This window comes from Homo sapiens, chromosome 13 (genome assembly GCF_000001405.40).
Source record: "Homo sapiens chromosome 13, GRCh38.p14 Primary Assembly".
Lineage (NCBI taxonomy): Eukaryota > Metazoa > Chordata > Mammalia > Primates > Hominidae > Homo > Homo sapiens.
This window is the reverse complement of record NC_000013.11, coordinates 69,712,671-69,728,736: the sequence shown is the minus strand read 5'-3', so window position 1 is coordinate 69,728,736 and position 16,066 is coordinate 69,712,671. Positions and strand designations below refer to the sequence as shown.

The following is a 16,066-nucleotide window of genomic DNA, read 5'->3' as shown; positions in this document are numbered from 1 at the left end:
TCCCAGGTTCAAGCAATTATTCTGCCTCAGCCTCCCAAGTAGCTGGGATTACAGGCATACGTCACCACACTTTGCTTTTTTTTTTTTGGCATTTTTAGTAGAGACGGGGTTTCACCATGTTGGCCAGGTTGGTCTCCAACTCCTGACCTCAGGTGATCTGCCCACCTTGGCCTCCCAAAATGCTAGAATTACAGGTGTGCAAAGCTTCATGCTAATAATTCTGGAACCTGGGAAGCGGAGGCTGCAGTGAGCTGAGATTGCGCCACTGCACACTCCAGCCTGGGAGACAGAGACTCTGTCTCAAACAAACAAACAAACAAACAAACAAACAATTTTTACAAGGCAGTTGTAATTTCTGTTCAGTCTGAAGCACATATGGCTTAAAGCATTACGAAAGCAGGATTCATTGTCTGTTGTTTTTCCATTATGTCCTAATACCTAGCACAGTGCCTTAAGCCTCAAGGTCCATCACTTGCATAGTGCCTTCCAACACTCTGTTTCTATTTTTTATTCAAATTTTGGTATTCTTCTTCTCAAAGGTGGCACCCCAAATTGTATACATTTTAATTAATCTTAGACTCACACATTAAAAAAGAAAGAAAAAAAAGAAATTGCTGTTTACTGAATCTCAGTTGGGGCTACTAATCAGCTCAGGAGAATTTTAATTCACATACTGAAAGAGATGATTTTTAAGGGACCTGATTGATTTATTAGATATCCAGAATGGATATGTGATGGGGGGAATCATTCCAATAAGAAAGAAAAATTTGTATCAAGTCCTTGAATATAAAATGCAAAATTTAAGTTTGGCAGGGAGTGGCCCCAAAGAGATCATATAGTAACTTGGCTGAGGTAAAAATATTGCAAAGATTAAAAAAAAAAAAAGAGCAGTGATGTGTTTTCATTTCAATTTTATAAATATTCACTCTGGTTGAAGAGTTGTTTCTAATTGCTCAAGGAAACTGTACAATTAGTAGAATTTCATCACAATAGTTGACTGGCTAAGATATATGCCAATTGTTGAAACGTATTATTTAATAAATTATGCCTCAGAATTAAAATGTATTTCAACAACTCATTTTGGTGCCATATTTGAGCATGGTCATTTCCAGGTTCTTCATTCTAGAATACAGTGGTTTTAATAGCTTAGACTTCACTTTCTTTCTCCATTCTCTTTTCTTGACACTTGCCTTACAACCACCTGATGTCCCAGCCATACCAAATCATTCCAGCTCCCTGAACCTACCTAGATTGTCCACACCCCTTTGCCTTTTCACTTACTCGTTTCTGCCTAGATTCCCCTTTCATTGCTTTTTCTTATTAACTTGTGACTGTCCACTATTCACTGTCCACTTAGTTTCCTGCTCAATATTCACTTGGTCTTTGAATACATTTGAAAACTCTCTAGATTGATAAACAAACCCAAGTCTAGCTCTCTATGTGCAAGATCTGTGTGGCAAGATCAGTATTAACAGGACTGAGTTTATTGTACTTAAGAACAATAGTGTCAAGAAATGTTAAAATATATTAAGATCTGCTTTTGCTTAAAACCAAAATAAGATTATTTATATTTTCTACCATCCAAAGCATAGTTTAATCTGTACCTTTCCTATGAACCCTTTTTGAATCCACCCAGTTAAAATTAATCTTTCTTTCTTCCCTACTTTTGTGTTCCCGAGACACATAATTAATAATTTTCCCTGCCATTTGTCAAAGTCTTGCTTCAGTGGAACTTAAACAGGTGCTTTTTCATTGATAAGTTTCCACAGATAAATCACTATTTTTTCTAGAATTAAAAACAAGTGCTTCATTCATTTTTTAAAAAATTTCACAAACATGTACTGGTCATGATGATATATCAAAGAAGATAAATAAATTCTGCCCTCAGAGAGCTTACATTATACTAAAAGGAACTAGAAAACAATAACAAATAATTTGCAGGATTATAAAACGCGTAGAGTTGGAGCAGAGGAAACACGGAGGGATTAAGGTTGAACTGACAGTTTTGGGTTGGTGAATTCTGCCAAGTTTGGATACATGATGAATTGATCTAAATTAATTCACATATTTACAATTGTCAGATTCTTTTCATAAATTTGGGTATGTTTTAATAAATAAAGGTAGGTAGACCCTATCAGGCTTCAGAACCTCATTTACCAGCTGTGTGTTATAATAGTAGCAAGTGACAAGAGGAGTTTGCAATAGACACCATCATTTCTTAGCAACTAGAAAGAAAAGCAGTCACCAATGTATTGTTGTAGCTTAGTGAAATCCCACTCACTGTCCTGTAAAGCACGTTAAAATATTTCCCATGGAAAGGCAGATATAGGAGTAATCTGACAGCAGGATTGACAGGCTTTCTCATGGCATCAGATGAAAGAGCTCTTCGTTAATTAGAAAACAAAGAACCAAGCTAAGTTCTGGATCTAGAGAGTTTCTTCAAAGGCACTGGAGTTGAGGGATTCTAATCCTTTTATTGTGCAACAGAAAGGATGCCTAAACACTTTTTCTGGGTAACCAAATACAGTGAGTGAAAATTACATTTAATATCCCAAGCTACTTAGCAAAACATTCTAGTATTTACATAATGGTATGGGAGTGCTTTCTGTGCACTTTCCTTGAAATATCCTTTATTGGTAAAGTATGAAAAATTGTAAATAACTATACATAGGATACAGATTATAAATAAAGCTAAATTTCAGGGAACAAGACAAAATGGGATCAGAAAAGACTTTCTAGTGGAGACACAACCTCAGCTGACTGAGAGATGAGTAGACATAACCCTGCATATGTAATGAAAAGCTACCTATGATAAAGTAAATATGAATGCACCATGCTACATAGGGCTAGAAAAGATCTAGTGCTATGGCACTAGCTCTTTCTTCTGATGCCATGAGAAAGCTTGTCAATCCTGCTGTCAGATTACTCTTATATCTGCCTTTCTGTGGGAGGTATTTGTTAATATGCCTTACAGGACAGTGAACAGGATTTCACTAAGCTACAACAATACATTGGTGACCGCTTTTCTTTCTACTTGCTAATAAATGATGATGTCTATTGCAAAATCCTCTTGACACTTGCTACTATTATAACACATAGCTGGTAAATGAGGTTGTGAAGCCTGATAGAGTATGAATGAGTTTGGCTAATTGTCCACCAATACTCATTCACTCCTTTTTATATGACAATATAAACACACATTTTTAGTGAGGCATATGGCCATCTAAAATAAAGACAAGACTTTCCAGCATCTTACTAACTAGGTATAACCATGTGTCTGGTTCTGACCTATGAGATGTGAGAAGTGAGTTGTGCACCCTAAAAGATGGACTCTTTAAGGGAGGGATGGTGCTCCTTCTTCCAATTTTCCTTCATCCTGCTATTTGAACCATGGTTGTGGTAACTGGGACTCCACTTTGGGACATCAAGACATGAGGGTTAACAGACAATTGTCCATGGGATTTTAGCATTACTCCATATTTTCCAAACAATAATTACTGGTGACTGTTTTTCATAACATATTTTCAGGATATTTGTAAATCAAAGAGTTGGAAGATAAAGATAGTGACTTCCTCTTGGTCAGAGAGTAGAGAATTGTTCCTTGACCAGAATCATAAAGATAATGTCTCCCTTCAGGGCAAAGGTTGGACAGGTTTTCTGGCAGCCTCTTTAAAGGATTAGAGTTTCCAAAACTCAGAGATCCCTTGGATGTGAAACAAACCCACCACATGTGCAGCATTCACTTGAGTTGCTCCAAATCACGCTGGTGAGGCTTGGGGGAAATAAGTAGAGCAGATGTAAACATGATATTTATTAATTCACTTATTCCTCCTGCATAATAGATTTTTTACTGGGCAAATTTGGTTTAATATATAGCATCTTAATTAATTTTCTTATTGAGGCCATTTCTTCCTATCCAAGCTTGTTGAGTTTTTATCATGAAAATGTGCTGATTTTGTGAAATGCATTTTCTGCATCTATTGAGATGATCATGTGATTTTTATCCTTTATTCATGTGGTGTATGTATGGCTTTAATCAAGATTTTTTGTTGAACTATCCTTGCATCCTAGGTATAAATTCTATTTGGTCATGGTTTATGTACTCTTGGATTCAGTTTGCAGGTATTATGATGATAATTTTTGTATGTATATTCATAGGGATGTTAGCCTCTAGTTTTTGTTTGTTTGTTTGTTTTTGGTGGTGTCTTTGTCTGGCTTTGGTATTAGGGCAATGCTGACCTCACAGAGTGTGTTCAGAAGTGTTCTGTCTTCAATATATGAACGAATTTGAGAAGAATTAGTATTAATTCTTCTTTAAGTGTTTCTGATGTGAACCCAAAATTTCTTAGACAGGTGTCAGTCAATTTAGAAAGTTTATATTGCCAAGGTTAAGGACACACTCATAACACACCCTCAGGAGGTCCTGACGACATGTGCCCAAGGTGGTCAGGGGTACAGCTTGCTTTATACATTTTATGGAGACGTAATACATCAACCATTACATGCAAAATTTACATTGGTTCAATCTGGAAGGGTGGGCTACTCCAAGGCAAAATTGGGGACTTCCAGGTCATACATAGGCTTTAAATTTTTCTGACACGTAGCCAGGCACGGTATCTCACGACTGTAATCCCAGCACTTTGGGAGGCCGAGGCAGATGGATCACAAGATCAGGAGTTCGGACCATCCTGGCCAATATGGTGAAACCCTGTTTTTACTAAAAATACAAAAATTATCCAGGCGTGGTGGTGGGCACCTGTAGTCCCAGCTACTTGGGAGGCTGAGGCAGGAGAATCACTTGAACCCGGGAGGCAGAGGTTGTAGTGAGCCAAGATCACTGCATTCCAGCCTGGGCAAAAAAGCAAGACTCCGTCTCAGAAAAAAAAAAAAAAAAAATTCTGACTGGCAACTGGCTGAAAGAGTTATTATCAGCCGAAAGGAATGTCTGGGTTATGATAAGGGGTTGTGAAGACCTAGGTTTTATCATGTAGATGAAATCTCCAAGTAGCAGCATTCAGAGAGAATAGATTGTAAATGTTTCATATCAGACTTAAGGTCTATGTTGATGTTAATGCTGGAGGGGTTTAATGAGGTATGTCCAACCTCCTCTTCTATCATGGCCTGAATGAGATTTTCAGGTTAACTCGAGAGTGCCTTTGGCCAAGAGGAGGGGTCTATTCATATCATTGGGAGCCTTAGAATTTTATTTTTGGTTTACAGTGAGAATGTACCAGTGAAGTCATCTGGTCCTGGGCTTACTTTCTTTTTTTGTTATTGACACATAATAATTCTACATATTCATGGGTTATAATGCTATGTTTTGATACTTGTATATATTGTCTAATGAACAAATTAGGTAATTAGTATATTAATCACCTTAAACATGTATCATTACTTTGTTGTGAGAACATTCAAATCCTCTCTTCTAGCTATTCAAACTATGCAATGCATTATTGTTAGTCGTAGTCACTCTAATGTGCAATAGAGTACCAAAAGTTATTTCTCCTAACTGCAAAATTGTACCCATTGACCAACCTCTCTCCATCTACCCCTCCCCACTAGTTCTCTCCAGTCTTTGATAACCACTGTTTTACTCTCAAATTCTATGAGACATTCTTTTTAGAGTATACATGTGAGTGAGATAATGTGGTATTTGTCTTTCTGTGCCTGGCTTATTTTGCTTAATATAATGTCCTTCAGGCTCATCCATGTTATAGAAAATATTAGGAGTTTATTGTTTTTATGGCTGAATAGTATTCCATTGTGTTCCAACAAATGGAGCACATTTCCATTATCCATTTATCCATTGTTGAGCATTTAGTTGATTCCGTATTTTGGCTATTGTGAATAGTGCTGCAATAAACATGGAAGTGCAGCTGTTTCTCTTATATACTGGTTTCATTTCCTTTGAATATACACCAAGTAGTGAGATTGCTGGATCATATGGTGAATCTACTTGTAATTTTTTGAGGGACTACCCTCAAAAAACTGTTTTTCGTAATGGTTTTTCGTAATGGTTTTCCTAATTTACATTGCCATAAACAATGTATGAGTTTCTCCTTTTTCACATCCTCATCAGCATTTATTATTTTTAATTTTTTTGGCAATAGCTTTTGCAACTGGAGTGAGGCGATATCTCATTGTGGTTATGATTTGCATTTCTCTGATGGTTAGTGCTGTTGAGAATTTATTCATATATCTGTTTGCTCCTGGAATTTTCTTTGTTGGGAAGTTTGACTACTGATTCAATATCCAAAATCTGAACAGACCTATATGTAGTTTGATACTAGATTAGATAGATATAGGTCTGTTCAGATTTCATATTTCTTCATGATTTAGTCTTGGTAGGTTGTATGTCATCATTGCTTTTTAATGTAAATTTAGGTATATATTTATATATAATTTTTGAAATAATTTCAGAAACAGAAAATGTATGATCTATTATTGCCTAGAACTATTTTATTATTAATTATCAACAATATTTGGTTCAAATAACTCAATAGTATAATTTATCAGAGTAATGTTTATGAATAAATAAAGCAGCTTGAAGTAAACATTTCCTTTAAAACAATAGAGAATAAGAAGTTCATATCATGTTTATTTATAAACTATGTACGAGAGCTGTGCTAGGTGTCTCACAGAAAGATGCCCATAAGTAAAGTCCCTGCAAAATACATTTGGTTACATTTTAATATCTTAGGGTTATTCCATACTTCTTTTGAGTTAAATCATCAATTTAAATGAAACAGAAGTAAGTGAGGTTCAGATTTCATAAGGTGTTTAGAATGATTAAAAACTTGTAAGTGAATGATTATTTCACTTCTGGGTGCTTTTGCAAGCTAAATTGTTCAATACTTGTTTTTTAAAATGTTCCTATTGGTTAATTTTAGCATACCACAAGATTGAGAGTTAGCAGACTACTTGTGAGTAATCAAGCAAAGAGGTATTACACGCATCAAGGGAACACTTGGGCAATCAGATATATTTTACTATGGCAGCCATTATGAGAAACATAAACAGCTTTAGAAAAACATTCCCAGGATTTAAAATAATTTTACATATCACATTTTAGAGTTATTATATGGTATTAGAGCATGAATTTGTAAATCTACATCCTGATTGATTTTATGCTAAGTAATACTGTCTTCCTATGCATTTATTTAGAAATTGAATATTATAGATTTAAGTCTACTTATAAATATATTATATTGGATATATTGTCCATAGTAAAGAAAAAATTTCATCTGCGAACCCAAAATATCTGAGACAGGTCTCAGTCAATTTAAGAAGTTTATTTTACCAAAGTTAAGGGCTCATGACCATTACACAGCCTCGGGAGACCTGACAATGTGTGCCAAAGGTGGTTGGGGCACAGCTTGATTTTATACATTTTAGGGAGATACGAGACATCAATCAATATGTGTAAGATATACATTGGTTCCTTCCGGAAAGGTGGAACAAATCGAAATGGGGAGGGGGCTTCCAGGTCATAGGTAGGTTAAGAGACAAGTGGTTCCATTCTTTTGAGTTTCTGACTAGCCTTTCCAAAGGAGGCACTCAGATATTCACTTATCTCCGTGAGCAGAGGGATGACTTTGAGTTCTGTCTGCTGTCCTTTGTCCACAAGGAAATTCCTTGTAAGGGAGGTACATAGCTTTATATATATATATATATCTTAGTAGCTATCTTTTCTAGGAATAGAATGGGAGGCAGGTTTGCACTAAGGAGTTCCCAGCTTGACTTCCCTTTGGCTTTAGTGATTTGGGAGTCCCAGGATTTATTTTCCTTTCACACATCTAATCTCATTAAAACACAAACTAATCATATTCTCCCTCTATTCAAAAACCACTATGGCTTCCTGTTGTACTCAGGAGAAAAGTCTACATGCACCTTGTAAGCTGCCATTCACCTTGAACCACCACTCTCACCTCAGCCTCTGCCCCAGCCACACTGACTTCCTTCCTGCTTCTGAAACTTTTCACTCACTATTTAGTCATCCTCAAATCTTCCTTCCCCAGATATTCCTGAACTCACCTCCAATCACTACCACTCTCTTCCAAGTTTTTTTGCAAAAGGTTTCAGTGAGACCTTTTCTGGTTACTTATTTAAATTGTATCCACAATCTCTACCCTCACCAGTTGCATTACTGATCCTGCTTCTGGATTCTATGTCCCTTGCACTTTGAACCTTCCCCAGTAGTAAATGACATTTATGTTTACTTTGTATATTCTGTCTATCCCTGTTTCAGCAGAATTGAGTGCATGGATTTTTTTTCCTGTTTTGTTCATGGACATATCAATAAAAGTTTTAACAATGTGTGACACACCCTAACCATTCAAAAATATGTAGTGAGCAAATGGATAAGTAAATAAATGCAATGCTGTGCCTTACTGTGATAAAATCATGACTATGATTAAATGGGGAAGGACTATTTTATTAGGATTAAACTGTATTCAAATCATGTTAGTACCATTTATGATGCATAACTTATTTTGGGGGGGTTCTATCATACTTCTCATTAATAAAATAATTATAGCAAGATGAGTGTATCAAGTAAACTTCAGCAATTTTCAATCATACTAACATTGTTGCATTCTTTTTTCCTGTAAAGTCTTGTTTTTAGCTATAGTATAGGCACTGAGTAAGAAAGTTGTTGTTAAGATAATACTTTTAGTTTATTACATTTATTTATTGTTCTAAACTGTGAGGATGGAACACAAGGTGCAGGCATGTGTTACATACTGCCAAATCACTTGCTTATCAACAAATAGGATAATGCCTTTCTCCTGTTTATGTTCACTGTCTTATATTTTATTCTGTATTTTAATAGCCATTTCTTAATATTTATTAAACTAATATACTAATATTACTTATTTTTGCAGTATGCAATTTAAATCTATCCAAGTTTCTAGAAATAGAGGTTAAAATTATAGTTGTCTTAATTTCATCTAGTATACTGCAATTTCTATACAAAAATAGAAATTTCTAGTATATATGATCATTTATTGAGTATCTTTAACAAAATCTCCCTGCAAAGTAATATATTTCCAACACGTTTGAGCCTCATACTGTGAAAATTTATTTTAAAGGACCTTTTCTATATTTTGTCATCCAGACTATGATATTAAATCACATTTTTCCAATTGTGTTTTTAGGTTGTATTCAGTTGGAGGTCGTGATGGAAGTTCCTGTTTGAGTTCAATGGAATATTATGATCCTCATACAAATAAGTGGAACATGTGTGCTCCCATGTGTAAGAGGAGAGGGGGTGTCGGAGTGGCCACATGTGACGGTTTTCTTTATGCAGTAGGAGGTCATGATGCTCCTGCTTCAAATCACTGTTCCCGGCTACTGGATTATGTAGAAAGGTAAGACCCCAAGGACACTGTTACAGCGAAAGAGACAGTGCAAATCACATTGATGCCTGATTCAAGTGATTGGAAAAATTGCATTATTTAGGAAGGGTAAATTCAACACCTAGAGATACATTTTTAACTCCTTTCTCTCTCTCTCTCTCTCTCTCTCTCACACACACACACACACACACACACACGTACTTTCTTTTATTTTCTTATTCTTTTATTCCTTGCTTCCTCCCTTCAACTAATATTTATTTAAATCCCCACAATGTTTTTTCACAAGTCCTTAAATAATCTTTAAATTTCTTCTTGATATACTTTTAAAACACACATTAAAATGAAGTTTTGAGTGATTTATAAAAGTGAATATTTGTTAATGCTTTTAAAAATATTGGATATTTTGCTTCTGTGTTCTATTCTTCTGTTCTTGTTTGTTTTACTACCCTTTCAAACTCTCAAAGGTGAATTATCAAGTTCTTTTATGACATACCATTTTTAACATAAGACAGACTGATTGGAGCTATATTTTTAATAATTCTGGTGTAAGAAGGAAACATAGGTTCTCTTATAACTCTTTCTAAAATTGACCAGGTGCATAGAAGCTAGAGTGGGATGACACCTTGGCTTCAGGCCTAGGAATACTATGCAGAGACTTCTGGCACAGGTATCGCTGAGTTCTCTTTGGGCTGTGCGTTACTTAGAACTATTATATGGTATGTAGTAAGGACTGAAGAGTCCTTAGTAAGATCATGGTAATATTTCCTATTACATAGGATACATAATGATCCATGGGGAAATGAGGATAGGGAATATTTAGGTCAATTGGTTTATCAATTGGTATAAGTAACTCTACTCTAACAAATAACTTTAAAACTCTCAGTGGTTTAATACCATGATGCTTTTTTTCCTCATTCATGCTACATATCCATGATATTACCACTCTGGTACTCAAAATGAAAAAAAAACCTAGAATATTGATCATTGCTGGTCTCTATGTCAAAAGGAAAAAGCCAGAGAGTAGTAAATTTTTCACTGATCCTTAAAGATTTCAACTGCAAGTAATAGAATTCTCTTTTATTTGTACTACAATGATAAACCAGTAACATGGCCACAGAAAGCTTTTTGGGAGAGCAGTATCCCAACTTGTATCTGGGAGAAAAGCGAGATGTTTAGCTGATAGCACTGACAGCAGAAAAATTTTCCTTTTTATGTTAGGAAAACACAGTCTGTATCCTGATTGAGGCCTGTAAGTGGTATAGATGGTAGAAAAAGGATATTCTTTCCCATTTATGACATTTTTTTCTAAGGATGAGTAATTATTTTTACTGATAAGTCCATTGGCAAGAGATGGTTTTTGGTAAGCAGGCTGTGTTCAAATTGGATAAAACACAGAAACAATGTTTACCAATATTGCCACTCTGTGAAATGGACTGTAGCTTTATGGCTGTATACACATTGAGAAAGGCATTAAGTTCGCTGCATTTTCACTTTAAGATTTTCTAGTCCACGGAAATCAGGAACTACAGGTGTCACAATGAAGACAGTGGCCAGAGTCCTAATAAATAGGTTTATGCTTTTATACTCACAAATGTGCAATCATTTATTTTAAAAATGCTGCTAATAGACTGACAACTGACTCATTTACATTTTCTCTGCTAAATTCTTGAGTAAACGAAGAGAAGAGATGAATATGATGAGCCTCCTACTTTTACCTTGAATATCTTATATAAATGCTGCCAATGAAATGATATTTCATCCAAATATTCTCATCCAACTCGACTTTATAATGTATTGAAATGTTGTTTGTGAATAGAGGCATAAATAATTCAGTCTAGGAATACATTTATGTTGGAAAATTACATTTAAATAAGCATGGCTATTTTGAGTTATAGGAGTGCAGTGGATATGAGCAGCTTAAGTAATGCAGAAGCACACAGCAGTATCATGATTCTTATCCTAGCTCATACTACCCATCAGATTAATAGCACTTTTGCACTTTTTATAACATATTTTCTATATTGATGATTTCACATGTAACTCCTCAATAAATCAAGATATGCAACTGTGCCTCTGTGGAACCACTTTGCACATAGACTGTAAAAATGTTCTGTAGTATATAATCATAGGCAAACATCATTAGAAATAGCAAGAATAGTGTGCAATGCTATGTTTTGTAGAGAGATGGATAGATCACATTTTATTATATCACAAGGATTTCCTATAGAAATGTAAACTATTATATAATGGTGGTGTTAAATACAGTTATATAATGTTTATCAAAAATTGTTTGCACTCAGGCTGTCTTAAGCACAAATAATACTGGCACCTCAAATCAGAGAAGGTAGAAGGCAGGGACTGAATGAGAATGAGGACTTTAGAATAGTTTATGGAACAGATGAAAACTAATTTTCTGACTGAGCCTCACCCTAGTAAGAGCATCTTGGTGGAAAAATCAGTGTCCAAAATGTGCATTGAGTTTCAGGAGAAATTAGGTCCAGAAGATGTCATCTATTCGGCAAAGAACATTCATTCATTTACCTATTTAGTCAGCAACTATTGTTTTTCATGTATTTGGCACTATGCTATACAGAGCTTACAGTATTAGAAGAAAGAGACAAATAAATAAGTAAATCTTTAAGATACCAAACAAAATTGGAATCTAGGCAACAGATCAGAAAATATGCTCAAAGGCATCAGTCCCACTGCTGAGTAAAAATAGATCAGAACCACCTTTGCCCTCACATCTGCATCCCAGTAATGAGGGCTGGTGAAAGAAGGGTGTCAAGATAATAGGAACCTTCTATACCAGACTTTGTAATACCCACTTCTGCATCTTCTAATTCATTCTTCTTACAGTTGCCAGAGGGATCATTTCATATTGCAAATTTGACCAGAAAGAAAAATTGAGTTTTATTTCTCTGTACCAATTATTAACATTATAATTAAAACTCTTTCTACATCATTTTTTTTTTCACTAAACTAGGTGCCATGTGCTGATACTGCCCAAGATAGCTTTCCACCCATCTCTATATTCTTGTGCTTGGTACAATTTCTGGCACAGAATAGGCACATAACAAGAATGTATTGAATCAGTCAGACACTAAGAAAAATGAACCTCAATATTTCCACAAGGAAAACTTTCTTGAGATAAACTGTAAATAGGTTGTTATACAGACAAATGAATTGATAGAGAAATTATAGAAGATAAATGGATAGATAGATTGGTAAGAGCGGAAGGATGGGTGGATGTTGAGGTGGATTCATGGAAAGGCAAATGTAATCATTTGAGGTTTACTTTATGACCCAGAATATCATAAAATTTGGTAGAAATTTGTTTGGTATTGCAAATCCAGATTTGCATTTGCCTCATCTTGGCAGAGTATTATTTCCATATATTTTAAGAGGAAACTTTTGAGATAGATAGGGCCTCAAGAGGTAAGCAATTGTTCAAATACTAATTGAAAAGTATATCCTTATATCTTATCTAAATACTATTAACAAATGAGTATCAAAACAATTTTGATATATTATTGTGATGTGCTTCTTCTCCCTTCCCCTTCCTCCCCCAAACCTTTTCTCATTCGATATATTATTGCTGGAGTCAGCTGCATGAGTGCAGAGTCAAAGAACTAGCTAGTTTGTTGTTGTCATTGTTTTTCTGTTACTGTGCATTCATAATGTTTGCTATTGGTGAGCAATTATGCTCAAATTTTGGATAGACCATGTTAATATGAGGATTATATTAGTCCATTTTCACATTGCTATAAAGAACTGCCTTAGAGTGAGCCGAGATCGCGCCACTGCACTCCAGCCTGGGCAACAGAGCGAGATTCCGTCTCAAAAAAAAAAAAATAAATAATAAAACTGCCTTAGACTGGGTAATTTATAAAGAAAAGAGGTATAATTGACTCATAGCTCCACATGGCTGATGAGGCCTCAATCATGGGAGAAGGGGAAGCGGGCATGTCTTATATGGCAGCAGGCAAGGGAGTGCACGAAGGAGGAACTTGCCAAACAGTTATAAAACCACCAGATCTCATGGAAACTCACTCACTGTCACAAGAATAGCATGGGGGAAACCACCCCCATTATCCAATCACCCCCCACCAAGTTTCTCCCTCAGCACCTGGGGATTACAATTCAAAATGAAATTTGGGTGGGGACACAAAGCCTAACCATATCAAGGATTCTATGCTAACCTAAGTATTTAGGAGCCCTGCTTTCTAAGTAGATGCAGCAATCGTTAGCTGATACAATAGCTATACCAATTTAGTTATGTGATTTGCTATTTCCCTCAATGGCTTATGAGGAGCGACAGAGAAAGGAGGTGACAGAATAACCTGCTGTCCTTAGATATGCTGCCCAGAATTTTTCTGGCATCATGATAATTTATCTGCATGTTTTGAGGAAGAAGGATTCTGTGGAAATACAAATATGCACGAATAAATGAAACAAGCATTATTCTATATAGATAGAAGGATATCGGCCGGGTGCAGTGGCTCACACCTGTAATACTGGCACCTTTGGAGGCTGAGAACTGTGGATTGCTTGAGCTCAGGGGTTTAAGACCATCCTGGACAACAGAGCAAAATCCCATCTGTACTAGAAATACAAAAATTAGTGAGGTGTGGTGGCACATCCCTGGGGCCTCAGCTACTTGGGAGGCTGAGGTGGGAGGATCACTTGAGCCTGGGGAGGTTGAGGCTGCAGTGAGCCATCATTTGCCACTGCACTCCAGCCTGGGCAACAGAGTGAGACCCTGTCTCAAAAAATATATAAATAAATAAATAAAATAAAATAAAATAAAAATAATTTGGATTTATAGTGCTAATTATGGTTTTCTGTCATATTAGTAGAGGAAGTGATTATATAAATAATCTATTGTTCTTTAGTTTTGAACTGTTAAGCGTATCCAATTTTTAAAGTTTGTTTAAACTGGCATTCAGATTTCCTGGGTATAATCCATGTTCTGCTGACTGACAGTAGTTAAGATAATTTTTAAAGGTTTATTGTGACAACTGCATCTGAAAGGAGTCAAAGAGCTGTTTAGCTTTTTCTTGTTTTCTTTTTGTTCTGTCAACAACTCATTTCTCCTCTCCTCAACCTTGAAAAATTGATGTAATAAAATATGACGTAAGTCAAAATAGAACTTTCCATTCATCATTATACAGAAGTTGAAATCAAATTAACTTTAAAATTTTTTTTGCATTGAAAATGAACAACAGATATTGAGAAGGGAAGCAGAAATTTATTTTTTCCATCTTCCTTTCTGGATCATTCTATGCCCATTATATTTTTAAGGAGGGGATTTAAAAAGTTGGGAGAATATCAATAAGTATATCAAAAAAGACTACACATTTAAAATAGACATTAAGCACATCATCAGCATAAGAGCCTGAAACACCCTGAATATATTGAGGAGATTTTTTTCTAACATTGTGCTGACTGCTTTCTCCTCTGTCTTGGGGTTAAAATTAACAGTGAACTCAAAACTATTTCAAGGTTTTGTAATCATTTGAGGTTTACTCTATGACCCAGAATATTGTAAAATTTGGTAGAAATACCATGTGTACCAACAAATATTGTCTCTAAGGGTAACCATTATACCACTACCATTATTTATATGTTTTTTAGAAAGTTATATGTTATAAACTAAAATATGAAAAAAAAATATTCTCATTTCAAATATATTAGGATCTACCCTAAAACTTTAATTCTTAGAATTCTCTTAGGACAGAATCAGTTTGATAAAGCATGTATATAAATCCAATGTGAGTTTATCACATAAAGGCGCATTTGGTTTAATATTGAAAAGAGTAATAAATGTAACTTAATACAATGACAATTAAATGAATATCTGAATAAGTGAAAAAATGATAAAAGTCAATATCTAGTCATTATAAAAAATGCTCACCAAACTTGAAAAATAAATTAATGTTGTTAATTTGATAATGAGAATCTACAAAATATTCATAGTCAAATATTGAAATGTTTTGTGATTTTCATTAGAATGAGAAGAAAGAAATGACGGCTAATACCATTTTTATTAGACATGTTAACAGAACACCTAGCCAGTGTTAGGCATAAAAAGAAAGCAAATTGCCAACAATTGGAAAGGAATAAATAACAATGCCAGTATTCAAGATTATGTGATAAATATCGAATAATTTCATATGAATCAAACTAGAAACTGTTAGATTGAATTAATAAGATTGCTATATACTCAGTCAATATAAAAAAATTAATTGGGCTGGGCATGATGGGTTATGCCTTTAATTCCAGCTCTTTGGGAAGCCAAGTCAGGTGGATCACTTGAGCCCAGGAATTTGTGACCAGACTGGGTGACATAGTGAGATCTCATCTCACTAAAATTTAAAAACAATAATAATAAAAATAAAAAATTAGCTAGGCATGGTGGCACATGCCTGTAGTCCCAGCTACTCTGGAGGTTAAGGTGGAAGGTTTGCTTGAGCACCAGAGATTGTGGTGCTCAAGATCTCTTGATCTCTAGAGGTCGTGGTGAGCCAAGATTGCACCACTGTCTGGGTGACATACTGAGGCCTTGTCTCAAAAACAAATAAGCAAACAAACAAAACCCCCCCCCCAAAAAAAAAAAACAAAAAACAAACAAAATTTATAAATTTAATGCAGTCTTTTTAAAATTAAAATTGTTTCATGTAGTTTGATTGTGGTTGTGTGTATATTGG

At 35.1% G+C, this 16,066-nt stretch overlaps 1 protein-coding gene across 4 annotated transcripts in view; it reads left to right on the top strand.

The window, feature by feature from the left end:
- KLHL1 (kelch like family member 1) overlaps nucleotides 1–16,066 on the top strand; it is a 407,856-nt gene that overhangs the window by 379,716 nt on the left and 12,074 nt on the right. For all 4 annotated transcript variants that reach the window (NM_001286725.2, NM_020866.3, XM_017020678.3 and 1 more), the window contains one exon: nucleotides 9,156–9,368. In NM_001286725.2, the coding sequence (NP_001273654.1) occupies nucleotides 9,156–9,368 (213 nt within the window). The remainder of the gene's footprint in view (nucleotides 1–9,155; nucleotides 9,369–16,066) is intronic.